Source organism: Homo sapiens, chromosome 21 (genome assembly GCF_000001405.40).
Source record: "Homo sapiens chromosome 21, GRCh38.p14 Primary Assembly".
In the NCBI taxonomy this organism is placed as follows: Eukaryota; Metazoa; Chordata; class Mammalia; order Primates; family Hominidae; genus Homo; species Homo sapiens.
The window spans coordinates 25,858,266-25,885,547 of NC_000021.9; the positions used below are offsets into that span (position 1 = coordinate 25,858,266).

The following is a 27,282-nucleotide window of genomic DNA, read 5'->3' on the forward strand; positions in this document are numbered from 1 at the left end:
TCTTTTCAAAAGCTTGGTGGGGTTTTCTTTTAGAGTCAGCCACACTAACTCTTTTTGATCATTAAGATGCTCTTTGCGGTAACCTTCTGTAGGTAAAGGGAGACATGGTACATTACACCTAGAGGTAACCAAAGGAGAAAATATATTTCCCTAGGTCCATCTGTTTCTTGTTTTACCTTCTCATTTATTCATTCACTGAGAGCATACTCTGTGCCTGCACCATGCTAGGAGCTGGTATGCAGCATAAATAGGAAATACATAATCACTGCCCCCAGGGAACAGCCTCTTCAAATACTCAAGCCTAGTGTAATTAAGGTAGCTCCCTCCGGATCTTTGAAAGGCTTTAACAGCGATAGCCCCTCAACTGAGAAACTTTGGATGTACTCAGTGAACTAAGTCAAAGCCTCAGATATTTGGGCATGGGAATTTTATGTAAAAACTAAAGGTGCTTTTAAAATATCATAAGCGGCTACTATTCACTCTGCCCGCCCCCCACCAAGTGGTTTCAACCAGGGGCAATTTTGCGTCCCAGGGATATTTGATGGAGACATTTTTAATAGTCATAACTGGGGAGAGGGTGTTATTAGTATCTGATAGGTAGAGGCCAGAGATACTGTTAAACATCCTACAATGCACAGGACAGTACCCCAAAAAGAATAATCTGGCCTCAAATATCAGTAGTGTTGAGTTTGAGAAACTCTGTTTTCCACCAATACAACTGTAACTTTTTTTCTACTTTTAATCAAGAAAGACAACTATTTTGAAAAATAATGCTATACTTGCCGAGTTTATAACTTACATTTCACATTAACAGTAAGCTGTAATTGGTATTTACATGTATCTTGACTATACAGTTGGGTTTTTTTTTCCCTGTCTTTCACTTGTTATCACATTAGATGTTGGGAAAGAACTAGTATTTTTGATTCCCAGTAGTTCTGCCTGACTCTAGCTTATGAGCAGAAAACCTCTTTTGATCTTCAACTTCTTGCCTCTAATGGCCTCAGCAGACATTCTATGCATCTGCCCCCATCACCTCTTGTCTCTTTCTCAGAAAGGTCCTGGGAATTTAGTATTCTTTCTTTAGAGATAGAAAACCCGAAAGCAAAAGGAGAAGGCTTAATCAAGGTCACCTAGCAGGGCTTTGCACGGGCTTTCTGCCTCTCCCTTGGCTCATTATTCACTGGTCCCTTCGGGGGAAATGTACACTATAAATCAGAAAAGACTATCATCTGTACTCTGCTAAATGTGTAAAGGTTAAATTTAGTCAGGCAGGTGATTTATACTTGCTTATTTCCTTTAAAACCTCATGGAGAATTAAGGGAGTTTTCAGCTAGGATGACAAGGAAGGAAATCTAATATTTCAGAGTTCTGCTGTTATTCTTCTTGGAGTATGAAACTATCATTTGTTTAAAAATTCCATGTATCCAGGAAGGCTTGCATCAGAATACATTTTTGTAGACATTAACTCATCATAATTTGATTAAACAAAATTTTGGTGTTGCATCTGTTAGGAATATCCTGAGTCACATCATCCACTCAAGGCAGAGAAACTGGTCTGCAAAAGCAAGGGTCGAGAAGTCTCATGAGGAATGTAGTAGACCGACTGGGAGAAAGTTTCTAAGAAATGATATGAAAGGGTTTGGTTTGGTTATGGAGATCATAAAGTGACAGATTTTTATAAAACTAGTGGAACTGCCAGCTTAGGAGATTTTCACGCACTAAGTCAGGCCATTCACTTTCTTTCCTTAGGAGGCAAAAAGCAATAATTCACAGTTATACATAGGAAAAAAAGCATATTCCCTCCTTTCCAATGTACCGCCCTCCCACCTTTTCTCATTACTTATTTTCCTTTCTTGTGATTTTTTTCTTTATTATTATGATCAACACATATCAGACAATATTTGGTGTCAAAGATGTACTTAGAGTAAACAATATTTCCTAAGGCCTCATTTACAATATTCGAAACTTGACCTGGAGAGCAGGTAGATTTTTATGTTAGTGGCCCCACTGAGAAATGGAGAACAAGGTGGTTCACCATGGCGCAGGGACATTTTGTGTTGGGCATGACAAAATATTTGAAATTAACAGTTATGCCCATCACCACAGTAAAAGGTGACTTTCAGAATACTTAAAATTCAATAGCTTAGTAATGTGTGATCTTCATCCACCCCTCCACCTCCACCTCTCCTTGCTATTTCTGAGGTTAAGACTTGTACTCTTATCTGAGGAACATGACTCAGAATTAGAGTACATAGTCTATGGAAAGATCATCAGCCTTGACTTCCTGGGCTCAGGTGATCCTCCCTTCTCAGCCTCCGAAGTAGCTGAGACTGCAGGCACATACCACCGTACCATGCTAGTTTTTTTTTTTTTTTTTTTTGGTAGAGATGGTGTTTCTCCATTTTGCCCAGGCTAGCTCAAGTGATCGGCCTGTGTGGGCCTCCCAAGGTGCTGAGGTTACAAGTCTGAGCCACTGCTTTCTTTATATCACTTTACTACGTAAATGACTTCTTAGTTGTGAATACATTTGATTTAGTGGTAAATAAATTTCTTCTCCCTGGGTTGTGGAAATATGAGTTTCTAATTTCATGACAGAAAAACTCAGCAACCAACTGTATTTCTTAATTATACTTTCATCTGAATGCTGCTTGTCTTAATTTGTTATGCTACAAATGACATAATAGTAACCCAAAGATTTGCCGTCTAAACATGTGTCTTTTAAAAGCTCAATAACTTAATGGTGCATTTTCGGCTGAAGCCAGTGTTTTGTTCGTACAATTCATGATTGCTTTCTGTTAAAAAGCATGACTGTATATTAGAATAGAATTTAACCCAATTTATTATGCTAAGGCATGAACAATCAATGGAACATAACCAACGATTGAATGGTAAGACTCGAAGAAAAAAAGAAACTGCCAATCAACCAAATATTTGCAAAATTAGTTGCAATAGGCTGAATTTTGTGTCCCCTCTAAAAATTCATGTGTTAAAATCCCGACACCCAAGATGATATTATTGGGAGGTGGTGCCTTTCGGGGTGGGGCCTTTTGGGAGGTCCTGCCCTCATGGATGGAATTAGTGATCTGGAAAAAGAGGCCAGAAAGAGAAAAAGAGTGGGGAAAACTCTGACCCCGACTCTCATCATATAACTTACATGAACATCAGCATTCCAGAAGACGGCTCAGTGGTTCTTTGAAATAATCTGGAATTAGGGGATGTTGTCTAAATTTATCTGCCTGCATCTTGTTCCAATAAATATATAAATTATAGGTTCAGGACTTCCAAAACAGGGCAAAAACTGAACTATCAGAAGGCATGGCAAAAACAGTTACAGCTAATATTGAGAAATAACAAACTGTATATACATATACTCGTACATTTTTCTATTTAGTATTCATTTATTTATTTTTCCAAAAGGAATAAGACCCACAGTTTTCAATATATTCTCAAGTGATCCATAAACTATAAGAAATTAAAAACTGCCTGTAAAAATCTGCATGATAAATAATATTTATCATAATGATACTAAAATGTAAACACCATAAAGGCAGGTGTTTTGTCTATTTTTGTTCACTTTTCTATCCCCAGTACCTGGGACATAGTAGGGACTCAGTAAATGTTCATTAAATGAAGGAAGAAATCACACAAATGCATTGTAAGAGCATAGTATTCTACTAAATAGCTAAAGAAAGGCCAAATGTTATTCAATACAAATTAAATGTTCCTGCTTTCTCTCTTTTTTAATTTTTTTTAATTTTTATTATTATACTTTAAGTTCTAGGGTACATGTGCACAATGTGTACCCTAGAACACGTTGTGCACATGTACCCTAGAGCTTAGATTATAGCTGTTAAGCAGAATATTCAAATGACTAGTGCCTTAGGCCATTGAGGGTGCTGTAACAAACTACCATAAACTGGGTGGCATATAACAATAAAAATTTACTTCTTACAGATCTGGAGGTCTGGGACCGCCAAGATCAAGGCACCAGCAAATTCAGTGTCTGGTGAGGTCATGCTTCCTGGTTCACAGATGGCTTTCTCACCGTGTCCTCACATGGCCCAAGAGACAAAGGAACTCTCCTCCCCATTGTCTCTCTCTGGTCTTTATTATGAGGTCACTAATTCCATCCATGAGGGCAGTCACTCTCAAAAGGCCTCACCTCCCAAAGGCGCCACCTCCTAATACAATCATCATGGATGCCAGGATTTTAATATATGAATTTTTAGGAGGAACACAAAATTCAGTGTATTGCAACTAATTTTGCAAATATTGGCTGATTGGCAGTTTCTCCACTTTTAATGCCATTCATTGGCTCATGCTGCCTAAGGAGTCTTGTGGCTTTTGCTCTTTTTTGCTTTATCTGCCCATTTGTCAATTTTCTGCAAGCCTGGTGGAGACCAAGCAACTCAATCAGCTCTTCCTCTTCCTATTGCCCTCAGAGCACCTCCTAGTGGCAAAAAGCAGGCATTGTAATCCCAGCAAGGCTTTTGAAATTTGCTTCTTTCATCCATTTATTTAGTTATTGCCTGCAAATGTTTCAACGATAATGTAATGATCCCTCTGCTGTCCAAAGGTTTGGAGAATGTTATGAAAGAACATTTTTGTTTTTTTCTGTAGCCTCTGCACTGACCTGTATTTCTGTTCCCAGGTGACTTGTACCACAATTTGGGGCAACAGAACATGCATTTAATGTTGGGTATAAACTTTTAATAATTAGAAAACTGAGAATGCCAAGAAACTATTACATGGTACATCTGTATAAGAGTATTTAGAATAAAATGTATGTGTTTTCTTAACACAAATCAAGTAATTTTGGGAGTTGATAAAAGGCTAATAGTTCAGAAAATTAAAATTATATGTTAAAGTCTTCTATGAAAAATACTTAACATAATTGCCATGTGAGAGAGCTGGTAAACATTAATGAAATTTCAAAATCAGTGCATAGAAGAGGGACATGGTCGATGGTTGAAAGTAAACAGCAGACTGGCCAGAAATCTGATTACAAAGACCATGCAAAAATGAATAGGGCCTGAAGATACCAAATTCCTTCTGTTTTAAACCAAATTGATTTTCCCCTAAAAGAGTGTTAATAAAATACTTCACATAGTGAGTTTAACTTTTCTTTCTCAGTCTCTAAGTTATCTGGTATACCATTGTTTTTGATGAATTGCTTCTTCCTTAGTTTATGTTTTGTGTCATTTCAATCTAAATTGGTTCAAAGGGACACCTTCAGATTTTCTTCATTGGCAATGACTATTGAGCCCCTATGAGAGTACAGTAGTCCCCCCTTATCTGAGGGACATACCTTCTAAGACCCACAGTGCACATTTTCTATACATACATACCTGTGAGAGTTAATTTGTAAATTAGGCGGAGTAAGAGATTGACAACAATAACATAATAAAATAGAACAATTGTAACAATATGCTGTAATAAAAGTTATGTGAACATGGTCTTTTTCTCAATATCTTACTGTAATGTACTCACCCTTCTTGTGATGATGTGAGATGTGAGATGGCAAAATGCTTACGTGCTGAGATGAAGTGATGTGAATGACGTAGGCATTGTGACTTAGCATTAGGCTACTATTGACCTTCTGACCTATTGTCAGAGGGAGGATCATCTGCTTCAGGTGATTCTGGATCATTAAGCCACAAGGATGACGAAGGTTGGGAGTCAGAAACAGACAGTGTCAATGACTGATGGGTGGGTTGTGTCTACAGTGTGAATCTGCTGGACAAAAGGATGATTCCTGTCCAGGGCAGGACAAAGCAGGACAACATGAGATTTCATCTGAGATTTCTCCTCAGAACCACGTGCAATTAAAAACTAATGAGTTGTTTATTTCTGAAATTTTTCATTTAATGTTTTCAGACCATGGTTGACCACAGGTAATTGAAACCCTGGAAGGTGAAACTGCAGATAAGGAGGACTACAGTGTTCAACTATTTACAAATAATGACAGTGGCCACAAAGATTACCTTGAAAAGAGACCGTGAGACAGTTTCACACAGACTGTGCCTGGATTTCCATGAGTCTCTGCCAACTGCTTTTTAAGGTATTATACCATATAATAATGTTTTTTAAATCTTTTAGTTGGAAGTGATTTTTTTTTTCTTGAGACAGAGTCGCGTGCTGTCACCCAGGCTAGAGTGCAGTGGCAAGATACCAGCTTACTATAACCTCCGCCTCCTGGGTTCAAGCGATTCTCCTGCCTCAGCCTCCTGAGTAGCTGGGATTACAGGCACCTGCCATGATGCCTGGCTAATTTTTGTATTTTCAGTAGAGATGGGGTTTTGCCATGTTGGCCAGGCTGGTCTTGAATTCCTGACCTCATGTGATTCACCTGCCTTGGCCTCCCAAAGTGCTGGGATTACAGGCATGAGCCACTGTGGCTGGCATTTTGAAGTAATTTTAGACTTTAAAAAAGGTGCAAAAATAGAATAGAGTACTCCGTATACTCTTCATCCAGCTTCCCCTGTATAACTATAGCACAACATTTTACATAACTATAGCACAGTCATCAAAACCAGGAATACAGTACTGTTTCAATTTTAAAATAATGTGCCTTAGCTGATGATGTTCTTGCTATACTTTTCTTTCTCATCTCTTTAAGTCTTTGTTGCTTCTCTTCTTCAGAAAGAGTAAAATTGAATTCTAGAGAGGTCCACTCATAAGAGGCAGACCTGGGCAATGAACTCGTTTTTTTGCCCTGTGCTCTTGAAACTGGATTCTCCTTTCTCAACAGCGTTAAGCTTCAGTTCTCTATGTTGCCAAAAGCCAAAGTTTTAGCCTGGGGCTCAGAATATTGGCTTATTTTTCCTGTATAAAGAACTGTCAGACTCTTCTTGACAGGGGTTCATATTAATAACCCTAATCTCCATCTCACGGTAGAACATGCTGTCTACTTAATAAGAACTTTTGCCCCTTTTCTGTTAATGCCATCCCTTTACACAAAAAATGAAATACATATATCATGAAGCTAATTATGTTCAGCTTAAATATTTATTTCAGGATGGTTCTAAATCCTATCTCTGGTCTGGTTTAGTGATTTTCATAATGCTTAGACATGATGACCATTTCAAACTGAAACCAAGAAAGAATATGAATATTTCTTTATAAAAATAAAAACACTTTTCTTTAATTAAAATAAAACCAAGAAGTTTCATGTGAAAGGTCACATTTCTAGCTCGTGCTGTGTTGTCAGCATACTCCTCCAGCCTTCTTCTCTCTCTCTCTGTGTGTGTGTGTGTGTGTGTGTGTGTGTGTGTGTGTGTGTGTGTGTGTGTTGTTTTGGGAATGTGTATAGCATCTTATCAGGAGCTGTTGGTTTGAGGTCAATGCCATCTCCACTGTCATCCCGATCAACAGTAAATACAAGAGTAGCTTCATGTTCTCCACAACAATAGAAAAATCCCTCCTGGGATGTTCTTTGGGAAGTACAAGAAAAAGCCATTAAAAGTTTCATGTTGACCTTTCTTGCTTTACAGAGGTTTGTTGGCAGGAAGTGTCTTGGTTTTCTTGATGGCAGAGATAAAGAAAAAAAGAAAAAAAACAAACGTGAAAAATTCCAAGGATCAATTTGCTATTCAGTTTGGAAAATAGTTATTTACAAGAAGCACTGTGGCATCTACAAGATCTTGCTACCTCACCCAACTACTCCCTCCCTAATCCAAAAAAATGAGAGAAACCCATTGCAGTCTGTGGTTGGGGTTGATTAAACATCCCTTGGGGCCCTAATGCCCTCGAAATGATGTGAAATCACTGGGTTGTGTATCAAAAGGGCAGGGTGAGCTCCTGGCTCATCTGACTTTAATCTCAAATGGCTCCACACTGGTAGTTGAGAACAGACAATTACTTCATTAACTTTTGGAAAGTCTGAGGCATTTGTGTTGCTTTCTGGACTGTGCTCTGCTACAGGGAGAGAAAAGACGAGGTCCAACGAGGCCATTCATGCCTGCCAAGTTTTCCTTTCTTTCCAATCCAGGAAACATACATTGGTAGTGGGTAAGATCCAATATTTTATAATGCTAAGACAGAGAGACTCACCCACTGAACAGCCCAGAGTGAATATTCCCCAAGTCTTGGCTGGCATGTAAGCCCAGAATCTTCACCCTTACTCTCAAACCTTTTGCCACCTCTATCCAAGAATTATTTTTAATAATGTCATGTTCTCTTCTTTCCCTTAAATAAATCCACTCATATATGAAAATTAAAAAGATTTATGTGTAGGGAATCATACACATTTGTCAGATTTATCTGTAACTTTAGGAATTTTTTTTTTTTTTTGAGACGGAGTTTTGCTCTTGTTGCCCAGGCTGGAGTGCAATGGTGCGATCTCGGCTCACTGCAACCTCCGCCTCCCGGGTTCAAGCGATTCTCCTGCCTCAGCCTCCCAAGTAGCTGGGATTACAGGCATGAGCCACCACGCCTGGCTAATTTATTTTATTTTATTTATTTAATTAATTATTTATTTTTAGTAGAGACAGAGTTTCTCCATGTTGGTCAGGCTGGTCTCAAACTCCCGACCTCAAGTGATCCGCCTGCCTTGGGCTCCCAAAGTGCTGGGATTACAGGCTTGAGCCACCGTGCCCGGCCAACTTTAGGAAATTTTAGAGAAGATTTAGAGGATGGTTTAGAGAAAAATATTATGCAGGAGACATTGAATTGTTAGGAAAAGCCACTGTAGAACTGGGGGCTGTTATTGCCAAAAATATTAGTTTGGTACAAAAGTAATGGCGTTTTTTGCCATTACTTTGAATGGTAAAAACCGCCATTACTTTTGCACCAACCTAACAGTTAAACCAGCAAAAGCGACACACATTTTACAAAAGAGTCATGTAATTCTGTATCTGAAACTGCCAGCAGCAGGGTGTTTTTTCATCCATTACTGCCATCTGAATATTTTCATCTTTTTGCCTCTGGGCATTAAAATGCAACTAATCCACCACCCACAAAACCCATTAGCATAAACAGTAAAAAAATGAGTGGTCAGACTACACAGTGATAGCACTGAAATTACTTGAGTAAAATGCAGATGTAATGAGGATGTCAGTTTCAGAGCAGTTTGCATCATAATAGACTGAACTGTCTTGGACTTCAATTCTGGGTTCTTTTCTAGATGACTATTGTCCTTTTTTTAAAAAAAAGAAAACATCTGTGTCCTGTTACTTTTTTTTTTTTTTTTTTTGCTTTCCCCCAAAGTTTTCTGATGTTAGAATTTAGAATTTTGTCTACTGTTTAAAAAGGAAAAAGAAAAATTTTCCACTAGCTCTCCTTTGAGAGAATGAGAGAATTCTAATTGCTTCTCCACTATAAAAGCACAAACTTCCATGAAAATGGTCATCGGAGAGCAGAGGTGACAGGATGTATACTGCTGAACTTTTTTGCTTCCACTCTTCTAGATAACTGCTGAGAAAGGCCCCCTTTAGCTTTGATATCCAAAAGGCAAAACAAAGAAGGTAAGCACCTTTCAGCAGGGCAAGGACAACTAATGTGTTCTTCTGCCCACTGCAGCTGAGACCCATGGTGCACCTGCATTCTTTTAACTGAGACAACAAAATTCTCCCTTTAATCCCCTTTTGGAAGGAGGAGGGAGAGAGTACTACCATGATGTATGTATTTTCCTTTCCTTACCTCTTTGTTCCTGAGTTTTTGCTTTTCAGACAATAAAATCATTAGAATTAGAAGAATTATTATTATTATTCCTAGTAATGTAGCAACTGTCAGTTCCAAACAAGCCTCCTTGGCTCTGACAATCCCATGCTCTGCTATACAACACAGTGAAAATTGGGAGCATAAACTCATTCTGTTGCCTCAACAAAATTATATTATGGGGTGAAGTCTATTGGGGATGGGGCAGGGTACTTCATAGCATGAAGAGAATGCAGAATAATGTTCTTAGTCCCCTGTCTGTGTGGCCTATTGAAAGGGAAGAGATTATAAACCCTACTGTGGAGTTAATAAAAGTAGAATCTGTAGGCCAGGGACTGCACGCAAGTTGACCTCTGTTGGGGAAAGCTCTGGGGGTACAGTGCTGAGAACCTCTCCTGGGAGTCAGATGTTTTTTGAATTATCTTTCTGTTTGAAGAAGAATCTGCCTTCCATTCATTCATTCAGGGCTCTTTTGAGTAGCCCATGTTTCAAATGAGCCAGGAGGGACCAGACATGTGATTATAAAAATACATTGAAATTGCCAAGGTGGAGTCTACAGCAGTGGTCCCCAACCATTTTGGCACACGAGGGACCGGTTTTGTGGAAGACCATTTTTCCACAGACCAGGAGTGGAGAGGGGAGGATGGTTTCGGGAAGATTCGAGCACATTACATTTATTGGACACATTATTTCTATTATTATTATATTGTAATATATAATGAAATAATTATACAACTCACCAAAATGTAGAATCAGTGGGAGCCCTGAGCTTGTTTTCCTGCAACTAGATGGTCCCATCTGGGGGTGATGGGAGACAGTGAGAGATCAGAAGGCATTAGAGTCTTATAAAGAGAGAACGAATTAGATCCCTCCCATACGCAGTTCACAATAGGGTTTGTGCTCCTATGAAAATCTAATGCTGCGGCTGATCTGACAGGAGGCCACGCTCAGGCGGTAATGTGAGTGATGGGGAGCGACTGTAACTACAGATGAAGCTTCACCTGCTGGCCTGCTGCTCGCTTCCCTCTGTGTGGCCCTGGTTCCAGAGATTCCTGGTCTACAGGAACTCGTCTCTCTTAGGTCTTTTTTCTTGAAGAGGGATTTGCTTTCCCAAACTTTTTTTTTTTTGAGACAGAGTCTCCTTGCCCAGGCTGGAGTACAGAGGTGCAACCTTGGCTCACTGCAACCTTGACTTGCCAGGTTCAAGTGATCCTCCCACCTCAGCCTCCTGAGTAGCTGGGACTACAGGTGGGCACCACCATGCTGGGCTAATTTTTTGTATTTTTAGTAGAGACAGGGTTTCACCATGTTGCCCAGGCTGGTCTTGAACTCCTGGGTTCAAGTGATCTGCCCACCTCAGCCTCCCAAAGTACTGAGGTTACAGGCATGAGCCACCGTGCCCGACCTTTCTGGAATTTTTTTTTTTTTTTTTTTTTTTTGAGATGGAGTCTCACTCAGTCGCCCACGCTGGAGTGTAGTGGTGCGTTCTTGGCTCGCTGCAAGCTCCGCCTCCTGGGTTCACACCATTCTCCTGCCTCAGCCTCCCGAGTAGCTGGTGCCGCCATCACGCCCGGCTAATTTTTGTTTTTTTTGGTATTTTTAGTAGAGACGGGGTTTCACCATGTTAGCCAGGATGGTCTCGATCTCCTGACCTCGTGATCCACCCGCCTCAGTCTCCCAAAGAGCTGGGATTACAGGTGTGAACCACCGCGTCTGGCCCTTTCTGGAATTCTTGAATCTTTAATAAGATTCTAGGCTATATGTGCCTTTGGTTGAATTCTCCTGAGTTGTTTCTATTTCTCTGAGTTTGCCATTTTTCTTCCTCTATTAAGTATCTGTATTCCAGGGTTTTGTGTAATTCACCAAAGCTTTTATAATAATTTCTAAGAACAATTTTGATCAAAGACCTAAGAAGACAAATAAAATTCTTCAGTAATAGGTATAATTTTCATCAAATGATTGCTTTCCTTTTTTTATTGTTAGGGCTCTATTGCTAAACGTGAAAGGGGAGCTGTCTCATAGATAAAACCCTCTGGTGTTCTGAAGGATGAATGGGAACAGTGGAGGCAATTTATCAGAAGCCTGTTTTTCTCTGCCAGGTCCTCCAGCCCATTTCCCCCAGGTCCATGGAGAGGAAACTCTCATAGGAAACTGACATAAACATAGACATTTCACTTTGGTCCAGCCAATCTACCATTAAGAATATTCAAATCCATTTATGAATGGATCTTGAGAAAGAAAAAATATATTGCTATGTTGGTTATTTTGTAAACGCCCAATGGGTTCACTTTGCTTGCCTAAACAGAGCCAATTTATCAAGACAGGGGAATTACAAAGGAGAAAGAATAGTTCACGCAGTGCCAGCTTTGTGGGAGACAAGAGTTTTATTGTTACTCACATCAGTCTCCCTGAGCATTCAGGGACTGGTGTTTCGAAGGATAATTTGGTGTGTAGGGACTCGAAGTGGGGAGTGCTGATTGGTTGGGTTAAAGATGAAATCATAGGAGGTCAAAGTGAGTTCTTGCTGTCTTCTGTTCCTGGGTGGGATTGCAGAATTGGTTGAGCCAGATTACCGGTCTGGGTGGTGTCAGCTGGTGCGTCGAGTGCAGGGTCTGCAAAATATCTCAAGCACTGATCTTAGGTTTTACAGTAGTGATGTTAGTCCCAGGAGCAATTTGGGGAGGTTCAGACTCTTGGAGCTGGAGGTCGCATGGCCCCTAAACTGTAGTTTCTAATCTTGTAGTTAATATGTTAGTCTTGGGAAAGGGTTATTATCAATTTTGTTTCAGAGTTAAACTATAAACTAAATTTATTCCCAAGGTTAGTTCAGCCTATGCCAAGGAATGAACAAGAACAGCTTGAAGGTTAGAAGCAAGATGGAGTCAGTTAGGTTTGATCTCTTTCACTGTCATAGTTTCCTCAGTTATAATTTTTGCAAAAGCAGTTTCACTTTCTAGTGTCTAATATTTTAGTAAGTCCTTCTCCTTCCTCCCATTTTCCTACCTTTTTGATCCTTTCTCTGTGCTACTTGCCAAAGTGTGCCAATTTCAATTCACTCATTTATTCAACAACTACTCCTTGAGCATCATCATGCACAAGGCACTAGACTAAACACTAAGGATTCATCCGTGAAGAAGACAGACAAAAAAAAATCTTGTCTTTGCGAAGTTTACGTTCTTGTGAGAGGAAGGCAATAAGCAAATAAAAGAGTAAAACATATGAGTCAGATGGTGCCCAGGAGAAAAGTGATGAAGAGAAGGATATATGAAATGCTTCTTCGTATGCTGTTAGGGCAGGGGAGAGAGTTAAGTTTTGGCAACCATGGTCAGGAAAAGCATCATCAAAATGGTGACATTTGATCAAAGACCTAAGAAGACAAGGGAATAAGGTGAACAGATAACCAGTGCGTTGCGATTTTTGGGTAGGGCTCAGTGGTGAATGCTCCTGTCTGCTCCACACGGCATCCACAGAGGCGTGGTGGTGGCAGGTGCCTGTAGTCCCAGCTACTCGGGAGGCTGAGGCAGGAAAATGGCGTGAACCCGGGAGGCGGAGCTTGCAGTGAGCCGAGATCGCGCCACTGCACTCCAGCCTGGGCGACAGAGCGAGACTCCTTCTCAAAAAAAAAAAAAAAAAAAAAAAAAAAAGATGGTCCTAATTTCAACACCTTGTATGTTAAGTCTCTGGATAAGCATTACCACCTTTAACAGTGGTTTATAAGTAAAAATTGTATTTTGCCACAAATCTGCAATTTGGGTAGGGCTCAGTGAGGAATGCTCCTGTCTCCACACAGCACTCAACAGAGGCAGCTGAGCCGAAGGATGGGGGTATGTTTCCAAGATGGCGCCCTCATGTGGCTGGTGAGTTGGTGTTGGCTGTCAGCTTGGGAGTTTGGCTGGGGGCCTCAGTTCCTCTCCATGTGCAGTGTGCACCTGTATGTGCAGGAATGGAGGAATGGAGTTATCATTTACTGAGAAGTGAAAGGCTAAAGGAGGAGCAAGACATCTGGAGTCAGATGTTGGACACATTAAGCGTGAGATGTCTGCTAAATATTCAGCAGGCAACTGGGAACCTGGAGTTCAGAATGGAAATTATAAAAAGAAATTGCCCTACCAAGGGAATTAACATCCTTGTCTTTCATTACTAGTTAATTATGCTGAGCTGACCAAGACAGGAAATGGCCATTACCCATACTTATCCCTAATAGAATGTGTATATTTATCCAAATGTGGTAGTTTTAAAACAAGTTCTTTGACATTCTTCCCATCAAGAGATGGAATCTATGTCCCCTTTCCTTGACCTAGGCAGGCATTTGTGGTTGCCTTGGAACCAACTGGGTATGACAGAAGTAATGTTATGGAACTTTTGAGGGTGAGGCATAAAAGGCAATACAGTTTCTGCCTCTCTCTTTGGGATGTTCATCCTTGAAACCCAGCCACCATGCTCTGAGAAAGCCAGGGCCACATGGAGGTGCACATTGCTTGTGGAGAGGAACTGAGGACCCCAGCCGAACTCCCAAGCTGACAGCCAACACCAACTCACCAGCCACATGAGGGCGCCATCTTGGAAACACATTCCTCATCCTTCAGTTCAGCTGCCTCTGTGAGTGCTGTGTGGAGACAGGAGCGTTCCTCACTGAGCCCTACTCAAATTGCAGATCTGTGGCAAAATACAATTTGTACTGTATAAACCGCTGTTAAAGGTGGTAATGCTTATCCAGAGACCTAACATACAAGGTGTTGAAATTAGGACCATCTTTTTTTTGTTTTTGAGAGGGAGTCTTGCTCTGTCGCCTAGGCTGGAGTACAGTGGCGCGATCTCGGCTCACTGCAAGCTCCGCCTCCCGGGTTCACGCCATTTTCCTGTCTCAGCTTCCCGAGTAGCTGGGACTACAGGCGCCCGCCACCACGCCAGGCTATTTTTTAAATTATTTTTAGTAGAGACGGGGTTTCACCGTGTTAGCCAGGATGGTCTCGATCTTCTGACCTCGTGATCTGCCCGCCTCGGCCTCCCAAAGTGCTGAGATTGCAGGCGTGAGCCACCGCGCCCGGCCAGGATCATCTTCTAAAAAATTTTTTTTTAGCCATTGTATTGCTAGTGCCTGGCATTGTCTGAGTATATGCAGTAGGCACGCAATAGCTGTTTTAAATGAATGAACCAAGATGAAACATCTGTGACCATCTTACAAATGGAAGGAGGGAAGGTTGAAAACACTGAGAAAGTCTCCTAGTTTGGAGGAATAGAGTTCAGCTCAGGAAGAACGTAGTTCAGGGTAATTTTTTTTTTTTTTTTTTTTTAAGACAGAGTCTTGCTCTGTTGCCCAGGCTGGAGTGCAGTGGCATGATCTCGGTTCACTGCAACCTCCGCCTCCTGGATTCAAGCGATTCTCATGCCTCAGGCTCCAGAGTAGCTGGACTTACAGGCACATGCCACCAAGCCCGAGTATTTTTTGTGTTTTTAGTAGACACAGGGTTTCCCCATGTTGGCCAGGCTGATCTTGAACTAACCTCAAGTGATCCACTCGCCTTGGCCTCCTAAAGTGCTGGGGTTACAGGCATGAGCCACCGCACCCGGCCAGGGTAGTTAAAAATTGTATGCTCTGAATGTGTAAAACAGGTTGTCCAAGAAATCTTATGGACAATAAAAGTCATTTACTTTGGAAATTATTCTAAAACATTTTGAAATAGAGCAATGTTAGAAATGAGATGCTGCCTCTGCTAGTTGCCTCAGAGCTGGTTAGTTAGCAGAGGATAGATTTTCTCGGTTTAATAGCCATAAAGGATCTTCATATTCTGATTTGATCTGCAAATGTATTCAACAAAGTGACTGCATGATGAAAGCAAGAAAATTATATAAATAATTTCCACTCCAATTTTTCGTATATGCCCAAAGTCATACCAGTGTAGAGCCTTAACATGTTTGTATGTAGGGGACAGGGAACAGAAGCGTATTAATAGACACAGGGCCATTCAAGGATCCTCTACAAGACAGTCATTCCTGATTGACTAGCCTAAATCAGAAAATGGTGTGTATGGTTAGGCCAAAATTAGTCTCTTCTTTTTTTTTTTTTTTTTGAGACAGGTCTGGCTCTGTCACCTAGGCTGGAGTGCAGTGGCACAATTTCGTCTCACTGCAGCCTCGACCTCCCGGGTTCAAGTGATTCTCCTGCCTCAGCCTACCGAGTAGCTAGGAATCACAGGTGCGTACCACCACGTCCGGCTAAATTTTTGTATTTTTAGTAGAGACAGGGTTTCACCATTTTGCCCAGGTTGGTCTCGAACTCTTGACCTCAAGAGATTCACCCGCCTCGGCCTCTCACAGTGCTGGGATTACAGGTGTGAGCCACTGTACCTTGCCTACATCCTGTATTTTCTAAAACATGCATTGCATTTATAATCATAGTGCATATTTTAAAGCAAAGACAGGAATCTGGGTCTCTTAACTCAGGAAAAGATTTAGGTTTAAGTTATTGCTTTGCATATATGAATTATAATAAATACTTTTCATGTGGCTGATGTTAGACAGTGTAGAGAAGAGAAGCAAGAGCAGAAACTCAGGGTCCACCAGCATCCAAAGCAGTGATTTTTATGATCCTTCACAGCTTAATCATGGGTGTGTGTGTGTGCTTGTTGAAAATGCAGAGTCCTGGGTCTCCAGAGATGATCTCAGTAGGCCCAGAATGGGATCTGGAAAACTGCAATGTTTGGCCAGGCTCATAGGTGATTCTGATGTAGGTGAATTCTTTGAGAAACAGAGATGTGAAGGACAGTGCTTCTCTTACCTACAGGACTCAGGTAGGAGAAAAATGAGACAGTCATGGCTGGGAAGCCAAGGGACTTTTGGGAAAATATATGTAAAATGTACTAAAAGCACATTATGATGATATAACAAGATGTTCTCCACCACAGCTGTGTATTAGAATCATCTGGGGCACTTTAAAAATATACCAGTGTGCAGATTTCCTCATAATGGTGGTAAATGTCCCTCTTTCAGCATGACTAAGAGATAAGAGAAGCTGCAATTTTCCAATTATCTGTGCATAGAAGAAAAAAAAATCCAACAGAGTGCCCACTGTGGGCCTGCAGCAAGCAGCCACCACAAACCTATGGGTGCAGAAATCAGGGGAGAGGAGTCTCAAGAGATTGGGGAAAAGGGTGGAGGGAAGCAGAGAACTTAGAGAAAAAACAGACAAAGCCACTCCCAAAAGATAAAGTGAAACAATATTTACAAAGAGAATGAACAAGGCCGGGCATGGTGGCTCACGCCTGTAATTCCAGCACTTTGGGAGGCCGAGGTGGGTGGATCATCTGAGGTCAGGAGTTCGAGACCTCCTGGCCAACATGGTGAAACCTCGTCTCTACTAAAGCTACAAACATTAGCCGGGTATGGTGGCGTGCGTCTGTAATCCCAGCTACTCAGGAGGCTGAGGCAGGAGAATTGCTTGAACCCAGGAGGTAGAGGTTTCAGTGAGCCAAGATTGCACCATTGCACTCCAGCCTCGGCAACAAGAGTGAAACTCGGTCTCAAAAAAAAAAAAAAAAAAAAAAAACCAAAAAAAACGAGCAATGATGGGCACTTGGCAGTTCAGAGCCCAGGCTCCGGAGTGGGGCCTGACAGTGTGCAGACCAGACATGGAGAATCCATGCTTGTTGGGGAGAATCAGACACAGGGAGAGGAGTGGTGCTTCTGGGAGACAGGCACAGCAGAAGAGGAGACAGAACAAAATTAAGCATCCTGCAGAAAATAGGAGACACAACAACTCTTCTATCTTTCCTGTCAACATCAGCCACAGAAGCAACTGCACAGAACATTGTTGAACTGAGGGAAGAAGCTGCTCCTAACTAGGTCTCCTGCCCACAGAATGAACAGGAAGAGGAAGGAGTGGACCAACTTCTATAGAGAACAACTGCCAAAGTCAGAAGTTGCAAATCAAAGTTTTTCTGCTGGTGATGTCTCCTCGATATAACCATGAACTTGATGAAAATTCTAAGACAACACTCAATATTTATGAAATATTCTCCAACCTGCATCTGGGAACATGGAAAATATCAATATGTTGAATCGGAAATATAAAAACTAGGTAGAGAAATCAACAAAAAATAGGAGAAAATGAAGCCAGAGCTGATTAAATTCAGGAAAAAAAATAGAAGAAAATCACAAAACTTTATCAGTAATAAAGAACAGATTACAAGGTGCCCCGAAGAGAATGGGTTCAAATAAAAACTTAATAAAGGGTATTGAATAAAAGAAGGATAGCCAAGAGAATGAAAAGGAGATAAAATAAAAAGGACCAGAGAAGATAGTTGAAATGGAAGCCAGACAAAGGAGGTTGCATATTTGTATTATTGGTGTTCCTGAAGAAAAGAAAAACAATATAACAGAATATTTAAAACTCTAATCCAAGAAAAAGTTCCAGAAATAAAAGAACTGAGTCAACTCTACACTGAAAGGGCCCAGTGTGGTATATAGGAAAACTGACCACAAATAATTCTGAGATAGCTCGGAAAATTATTAGACTTATAAAAAAAAAATCCTCAAGGCTTCCAGGCCCAAAAAATATTTACAAAGAGAATTAAAGATTGGCCTCAGATTTCTCAAAAATAACATGCAAACCAAGAAAACACTGGAACACCATTTTCAAGAAACCTAAGGAAAAACAAGCTGCTCTTCAAGTTTCAAGGTCACAGAAAATCAGTTTCAAACTCACCAGAATTCCAGGAATACAGTACACGTGCTCTTGCTGAGCAATTTACTGGAGGGTGAGTTTCACCCAACCAGAATATTTCTGGGAACAAAAGGACCAACAGAGATCATTTCACATATTTGACTGTAGAGCTGAGAATAATGTAAGAGTTCGTTCATGGGTTAATGAAAAACATGGATATGTAAACATTATATACTGATAAAGTAGAACAAATACAACTAAAAAGGTGGGAGAAGGGAGAGAAAAGGGGAAAAGTAGAGTAACACCATTGACTGACATATAGGTAATAGGTGGGAATCAGTATCATCTAGAAAAGACAGATAGTAACAGGTTAAGAAAGAAAAAAGGGGCCGGGCGCAGTGGCTCATGCCTGTAATCCCAGCACTTTGGGAGGCCACGGCAGGTGGATCATGAGGTCGGGAGATCGAGACCATCCTGGCTAACATGGTGAAACCCCGTCTCTACTAAAAATACAAAAAAATTAGCTGGGCGTGGTGGTGGGTGCCTGTAGTCCCAGTTACTTGGGAGGCTGAGGCACGAGAATGGTGTGAACCCGGGAGGCAGAGCTTACAGTGAGCCGAGATTGCGCCACTGCACTCCAGCCTGGGCGACAGAGCCAGACTTCCGTCTTAAAAAAAAAAAAAAAAAAAAAAAAAAGGGAGTAAGAGCACTACAGAAGATTAGTATAAAAGCAACCCATTAGAATAAAGATACAAGACCCAGCGCGGTGGCTCACACCTGTAATTCCAGCACTTTGGGAGGCTGAGGCAGGTGGATCACCTGAGGTCAGGAGTTTGAGACCAGCCTGGCCAACATGGTGAAACCCCGTCTCTACTAAAAATAAAAAAGTAGTTGGGTGTGGTGGCACGTGCCTGTAGTCCCAGCTACTCGGGAGAATCGCTTGAATCCGGGAGGTGGAGGTTGCAGTGAGCCGAGATCACACCAGTGCACTGCAGCCTGGGCGACAGAGTGAGACCCCGTCTCTAAATAAATAAATAAATAAATAAATAAATAAATAAATAAAAGACACAAAATTCATAAGCCAAAAGAAAACGCAAGAGGATAGACACAGTAAATATAATACATTCAGCAATTACAATCTAAAATATGACAGAATTGACATCAAACATGGTAGTTATATCAAAACTAGATCGGCTTAATTTGCCTATTAAAAAAGATTATTTTCGGATTGGCTCGTATAGCAAAAACTCAACTGTGTGCTGCACACAAGATACACACCGAAAATGCAGCAATTGAAATAGCTAAAAATAAAGGAATGAACGAAAATTTACCAGACAAATGGAAACAGTAAGACAGCAGGCATTGCAATCCCGATACAGAAGTAGAGACTTCAAGCCCCAAACAGAACACAAAAGAAATATAGAGCTATAAAATGGCCCTTGGGCATATGAAAGAATAGCCCAATTATTCATAAGATAAATACAACTTAAAATTGTACTGAGATTGTACTCTTCCTGACCCATCATATTAGCCACAGCAAAGTCTCCCCAAATCTCATTAATCTTTTTTGCGCAGCAGCTACTCCTATAATTCTATTTGGCAGCACTTCAGTTTTGTATAAATTACCTATTGATTAATCCCCAGACCATTGGGAGAATACTATCAATATACCTCAATTTAAGAATCAAGATTATAAGGCATTATCTTTTCATAATTATATATGTATGTATATATACATTTGGCTAGACATTTTTTTCATTAGCTTTAAAATTGTCAGAGGCGTCTGAACCAGAGCAACTCCATTTTGAATAGGGGCTGGGTAAAATAAGGCTGGGACCTACTGGGCTGCATTCCCAGAGGGTTAAGTCATTCTAAGTCACAGGATGAGATTGTAGGTCTGCATAAGATACAGGTCATAAAGACCTTGCTCATAAAACAAGTTGCAGTAAAGAAGCCGGTCAAAACCCACCAAAACCAAGATAGCAATGAGAGTGACCTCTGGTTGTCCTCACTGCTACACTCCCACTAGAGCCATGACGGTTTACAAATGCCATGGCAACATCAGGAAGTTACCCTATATGGTCTACCAAGGGGAGGCATGAATAATTCAGCCCTTGTTTAGTAAATAATTAAGAAATAACAATAAAATGGGCAACCAGCAGCCCTTAGGTTCACTCTGCCTATGGAGCAACCACTCTTTATTTTCCTACTTTCTTTAAAACTTCATTTCCTTTTCCTCTATGGACCCGCCTTGAATTCTTTCTTGCATGAGATCCAAGAACCCTGTCTTGGGGTCTGGATTGGGACCCCTTTCTGGTAACAAAATGATCAAAGTTAAAGCTGTAGTTACTGTAACTGAGTTGGCCTTGGAATGCCATCCCATATAGTGCCATGTTTGAGAGCTGGTTTTCATTTCATTGGTGGCATTAGAAATGTACTATTATATTAGGGTTAATTCGCCCTGCTACCCCAACTAGCTAGCTACCTCCCCTTGGGCCAGGCAAAATGGAACAGTAGCTTGTACATATGAATTGTTAACATGTACATATCTTCATACAGCAGTCATGTCTAACTGTCCCTAACAGGGCAAGGGAGATGACCGGTCATTTTTTCTCATGAAAACAAGATACACTCAGGTGAGTTTTGAGTTTGTTCACCATGCAGAATGTGACGAGATAAGTTTAATTTTCTAGCTTAGTGTTTTTAGCTTAAAATGTTGCAATCTAAAGCTAAAATGTTCACCTGAGGCCAAGGACAACACAGCAAAAACAACAGGGCCAATGTGTCCTCAGACCTTTGGAATCGCAGTCAGATATCACTATGAACTGAGTGTTTGTGTTTCCCCCAAATCCCTATGTTGAAACCCTAATCCCCAATAATGGGATGTGGAGGTGGGACCTTTGGGAGGCAGTTAGGATTAGATTAGGTCATGAGGGCAGAGCCTCACGATGGGACTAGTGTTGAAGGGAAATGAAGAGACCATCTTATTCTTCACCATGTGAGGATGTGACCAAGTATCCTCATTTTTCTAAGAAAAAGAGAATGAGTTACTATTTTTTTCTCTTCTTTTCTCCATTTTCCAGTTTCCCATGTCCTACTTAGCCCTTTAGAAATGCAATTATAATTGTTTACCTCTCCTTCACGAGACACTCCCTACAGGGCAAGGCTGTCTAACATGTGTTTCAAAGCTCCAGTGAAACTCTCCCTCACCAGGAGACTGCTCAGGAGACAACAGTCAATTTACAACCCAAATTATGCCCGCTACAAAACTCTCCCCCACCTGGAGACTTTCGGACACCTTTGTAATCGAATTCTGTCCACAAAGACGTCAACTCAACCGCCTGGTAGATAAGGCACCACAACGAGTACAGGGACCTCCACCTGCTCACTGCCTTCCCTGCATGTCATTCGTGCCAGGCCCTCCTTTTATTTATTTATTTATTTATTTATTTATTTATTGAGACGGAGTCTCGTCTGTCTCCCAGGCTGGAGTGCAGTGAGCCGAGATTGTGCCACTGCACTCCAGCCTGGGTGACAGAGCGAGACTCTCAAAAAACATAAATAAAATAAATAAATATCCTACACTGGTCAGGACAACTCCCTTCAACAAGGAATTATTCCCTGCAAAATGTTAGTAGCGTTCAGGATGAGAAACCATGCTTTACAGATAATCAGCTGTCTTAATTTTTATTTCCCTGGAACTTTTCCCTTTGTCTCTCATTTGGGACAAACTTGAGGGCCAAAATATGGCAGCAAAATGTTTTAGATCAAGTAAAGACTGTAAATTAGGTCTATGAAATATTTTCCCAGCACTGGGAGACACATGTTGGCCCCAACTTCCTACTCAGACTTGCAATTAAGACACAACAGGTGTGGGTACCCAACATGCGAAGACTTCTCACTGGTCTGTACGTCAGTAAATGGTCAAGATTGTTACTATGGAATCATTCACACCAGCACAATGGTGCTCCTCCAAGAATGTATTTATTTACATGAAAACACCATTTTATACAAATTGAAGACACATCTTAAAAGAAGGGTTTGTCCAGGCATGCCTTCCTCATCCCCTTATATTGCCACTTCCATTTTCATCTTCTTTTGTATCATAAATGAAACTTCAGACTGGTTAAAGAAAATTGAATCTGCCTCTTCTCCCCACCCAAAATTACTTCGATTATTTAATGTCTGTAGTCATCCTTCAAAGAAAAGTCTTGCCCGGGGTTATTTTATTTAATTTATTTATGTAATACAGTGTAGAAAGCGATCATGTCATAAGCAATGATTCTGTACAATCATCCTGCAGAAAATTGTTTTGGAGAATTCTTGGTAATTGAAGACCAGCAGAGCACCCCTCCCCACCCGCCCCGTAAAAGTGCTTACAATGAACAGGGATTCTTTTCTTTATCAAAGACCCAAAGATACGTGGACAAAAAAAGAAAAGCTTGAAGTCTCAATGCCTAATGTGTGCACATAAAACAGGCACGAAGAAACAAACGTGTGTATCCTCTTAATTCCTATATCACAAATATAGCAGAAGCAGCAATCTGTACAGTAAAATGCAGTCATGGAAAAAAAATCTCTCTAAAGCATCTGAAATACTTAAAAATGTTTAACTTTAAAATGCATAGTGATCAGGAAAGGAATACTTAGGCAAGAGAAGCAGCTGAACTCCCACGTTCACATGAAGCATCCCCCATCGATTCTTAAAGCATATGTAAAGTAGGACTTAATTGGGTCACAAACCACAAGAATAATATACAACTGGCTAAGGGGCTATGTGATAAATAATCAGGAGAGAATCTATTCATGCACTAGTTTGATACAGCTAAATTCTTTACAGTACACAAAACCCATTAATAATGTAGTATAGAGACCAAAATGTAAAGAGAGATAGAATACATTACTGATGTGTGGATTAATTCAAGTTCAGGCATCTACTTGTGTTACAGCACAGCTGTCAAAAGGCGATAATGAGTAAATCATAAAACGGGTTTGTTTCTTCCCACATTATTCTATAAATGGACACCGATGGGTAGTGAAGCAATGGTTTTGCTGTCCAACTTCAGAGGCTGCTGTGGCGGGGGTCTAGTTCTGCATCTGCTCAAAGAACTTGTAGGTTGGATTTTCGTAGCCGTTCTGCTGCATCTTGGACAGGTGGCGCTCCTCTGGGGTGACAGCGGCGTCAACCTGAAAAACAAGAGGAGAGCTGAGTAAAAAATAAAAATCAATCTTTTAAGGGTGAACATGGAGAAGCAGTAAAAAGATAAGGAGTACAGTACTCTTCTTTTGCCAAGATTGCAGAACACCCATAATTTTCTCCCCCACTTTGACATCTTGGAGCAGAACGCCTTTGCCCACCAGTTACACAGATGCTGTGCTCCATCTAGCCACCAGGTGGCGGTGGAAACCTTGACGCGCTTGCAACGTGTCCAGTGGTTGTTTCTGGTTCCCCAACTCCACAGTAAGTGGATAAACCCAGTGCAATGGTATTTTTTCCTCCCCTGTTGGGTCCATAAAGGACAAACAGAGTCAACGGAAGCCTGTTTTACGTGGAAGTGTTTTGGTAAAATAGATAAAACCACAAGAGTATCATGGAGGGAGATTCAGCAAAGTATACTGTATCTTGGGTGACACTCAAATCTGTGTAGAAAAATACTCGATTTCCTGGACTGCTGAATTTAGTCTAGCCCATTTCTATCAAATTTTATGTTTGTTAAAATGTTAAGGAGAGGTTTGAGAATCAATTAAAACAATAACATATACCAAAGGGGGCTATTATTTGGCACAAGAAAAAAGGAAGAGCAAGGACGACGCCATTCTAGATGATGTAATTTTTTAAAAACTGAGAATTAAGATACTATAGAAGTATGTTCAGCTCAAAGTTTAAAATCAGACCCTCTCTGTTAATATGTTGCTTTACCTCTAAGGTCAGGCCAGTAACTGAAGACGTTTTTCTCCCCCTGTCACTGTTAGAGCTGTGTGTGGCATTTACTGTCTGCAGGTTGGGCAGGGTACTTACCCCTACAACGTGGGCAGTGGCTGTTCTTGTTTTACTATATTTGTTATACCTCTCCCCGTTCGCAGAAGAGAGGAGGTCCTTAACTCTGCTGAATGAGTATGTTAAAATTCCTCTTTTGTAAAACCATGGTAAGATGAAGAGAATAAATAGAAAGTCATCAGAATGAAGAGGCATGTTTTCCAGAGAAAAGTTTGGATGTACCATAGAGAAGATATTCCTTCAAAGGGATATTTCCTAGAATGGGCTGCTCATTCATCTCTGGGAGAATACTGCAGGCCCATTCCCCCTTGTTGAGTGTTGCCAAGTGACATTCCTCCCTTATGCAGCTTTTCCCCCTACACACCCCATCTGGCATGGATCTGAGCCTACACAGCAATGCCCCTGAAGCCAAGGAAGAAAAAGTACCAGCGAGGATGTAGTGTCAGCAGTAAGACATGAGGTCTCGAGATGGAGCTAGATATGTCATGACTAGACCACACTGGCTGATAACAATTCAGACTAAAAGATCTGTCAATATGGCCGGGTGCAGTGGCTCACTCCTGTAATCCCAGCACTTTGGGAGCCTGAGGTGGGTGCGTCACTTGAGGTCAGGAGTTTGAGACCAGCCTGGCCAACATGGTGAAACCTTGTCTCTACTAAAAATACAAAAATTAGCCAGGCGTGGTGGTGCACGCCTGTAATCCCAGCTGCTCCACAGGCGGAGGCAGGAGAATGGCTTGAACTTGGGGGGTGGAGTTTGCAGTGAGCCAAGATTGTGCCACTGCACTCCAGCCTGGGAGACAGAGTGAGACTCCATCTCCAAGAAAAAAAAGGCCAGGTGAGGTGGCTCAAAATCCCAGCCCTTTTGGGAGGCCAAGGCGGGTGGATCACGAGGTCGGGAGTTTGAGACACGCCTGGCCAACATAGTGAAACCCCATCTTTAACAAAAATACAAAAAAATTTAGCCAGGCACAGTAGCACGTGCCTGTAGTCCCAGCTACTCCAGAGGCTGAGGCAGAAGAACTGCTTGAACCCAGGAGGCTGAGGCTGCAGTGAGCCAAGATCGTGCCACTGCACTCCGGCCTGGGCAACAGAGGGAGACTCTGTCTCAAAAAAAGTAAATAAATAAAAATAAATCTGTCAGTATAATCAGGTCCCCTGTGGTCCCTTCGGATAGCCCCACTTCATGAAGTGATTGACTCTTTTCAGTCTGGGAGTGAGGTGGAATGACTACCAGTGGCTAATCCCAAGGCAGCTGGAATAGGTAGATATACAGCTCCCTCATCCCTTGGGACAGAATGTTCCATCCATTATGTGCCCATTTTTTTTGAGTTGGAGTCTTGCTCTTGTTGCCCAGGCAATCTCGGCTCACTGCAACCTCTGCCTCCCAGGTTCAAGTGATTCTCCTGCCTCAGCCTCCCGAGTAGCTGGGATTACAGGCACCCGCCACTACGCCTGGCTAATTTTTGTATTTTTAGTAGAGATGGGGTTTCACCATGTTGGCCATGCTGGTCTCAAACTGACCTCAGGTGATCCGCCTACCTCGGCCTCCTAAAGTAGCACTAGGACTACAGGCATGAGCCGCCATGGCCATGTGCCCCGATTCTTACGTTTCCATTTATGGAAGAGACTGTGCGCCACTGTGAATCCCTCCCATCTACCACCCTGTGGCTCAGAGCTGCCTGAGTTCCCCTGCATCCAAACCCTCAGCTTACTCCAATGACAGACCTAGGCATCTCCCCTTAGCACACTCCCACCAACAAGCTCTGACCAAGGCCAGTACTCAGAGGACTCTGCTCAAATGGATGCTCAGCTTCACTGTCCTTCTGGGAGCAAATCACAGATATTTTCCTTATCCTCTCCTCTTTCCTTTGCTGTGCACTGTTGTCAACAAATGAGGTCACCTGGCTTTAACTGGTAACTGTGTAATTAGCCTCCAACTTGTAAGTTAAAAACCATGGTTAAAGATTAGCACCAATAATGAGAGATTTCATTCACTCTGTAAATCTGTGTGCCAGGAGACAGCCTATCTGCAGCAGTACGCCATTTGAACTTGGGCATCATTTTTGCTCCCCATCACCTCGAAACTGAGAACTCAAAGAATGCCCAGGTTAAAAAAAATTATCTTGCTTAGGAGATCAAGCACAAAGCTGCTATGTTTCTGATTGTAGAAAAAAGCCACAATGCTGCTTGATTGTTGGAATATTATACTTTTATTTCTTCCAGGAGGCACATCTACCATCACACTGGCTGTCAACAATCATTTGCATGCATCAAGGGCAGGGGAACACCTGGCAATTTGATAGGTTTATCTCCTCTTCAAACTCCAAAGCCTAACGCTTAAGAGTGCCCTGCTAGAGATGCGAGGCTCCAAGGCTGGTGCACAATCCAGACCTCTAACTCTCCTGTCTTTTCTTGGCTTCTGTTTTGCTACTTGATAATCCTATTACCTTTTGCCACTGAGAGGACAGCTACATTTTGCCATTCCTGCCATGGGGCAGCTTGGCCCTCAGACCTTAGAGGGCTTAGGAGCTACAGAAGAAGGGATTATCTTGACAAAAGGGCATCCAAGGAGTATGGATTGGATCTTTAATCTCCAGCCCCTTGAAAGCTAGATGCGAAAATCTGAGTACTCATGTCTATGGATAAAGGAGGAGCACCAAGTAAGGGTAGCCTTCCTCTCCAGCAGGCTCACCAATCTCTTCCTCATGGCTAAGCTACAGCAGTGGCATGGGCCACCATGTGAAGGCCAGCCCTACCACGACCCTGTGCAGACAGGGCCTCTGCACAGACACAATATTATTTCCCTTAAAGCAGAGCCAGGGAGGGTTTGAGCCCATGGTGCTTGTTCTGGAAGGAATGATAAGACAATGAAGTCAGAATTTCCATTTTCCAACTGGGCAGGAACATCTGTCACTTGCTGGGATGAAGACACACATACATACAACCACTGAATATTCATTCT

The 27,282-nt window shown here is 41.6% G+C and overlaps 1 protein-coding gene and 1 long non-coding RNA gene across 12 annotated transcripts in view; one reads left to right on the top strand and one right to left on the bottom strand.

Moving 5' to 3' along the window:
- The first annotated feature begins 4,080 nt into the window (after window positions 1-4,080).
- LOC105372756 (uncharacterized) lies at window positions 4,081-7,574 on the top strand. The gene is made up of 3 exons (XR_007067828.1): window positions 4,081-4,576; window positions 5,878-6,061; window positions 7,494-7,574. It is a non-coding gene; the product is annotated as an uncharacterized LOC105372756 (long non-coding RNA).
- Window positions 22,285-27,282, bottom strand: part of APP (amyloid beta precursor protein) — a 290,579-nt gene continuing 285,581 nt past the window's right edge. For all 11 annotated transcript variants that reach the window (NM_001136131.3, NM_001136129.3, NM_001136130.3 and 8 more), the window contains one exon: window positions 22,285-23,506. In NM_001136131.3, the coding sequence (NP_001129603.1) occupies window positions 23,405-23,506 (102 nt within the window). In that variant the 3' untranslated portion in view covers window positions 22,285-23,404. The remainder of the gene's footprint in view (window positions 23,507-27,282) is intronic.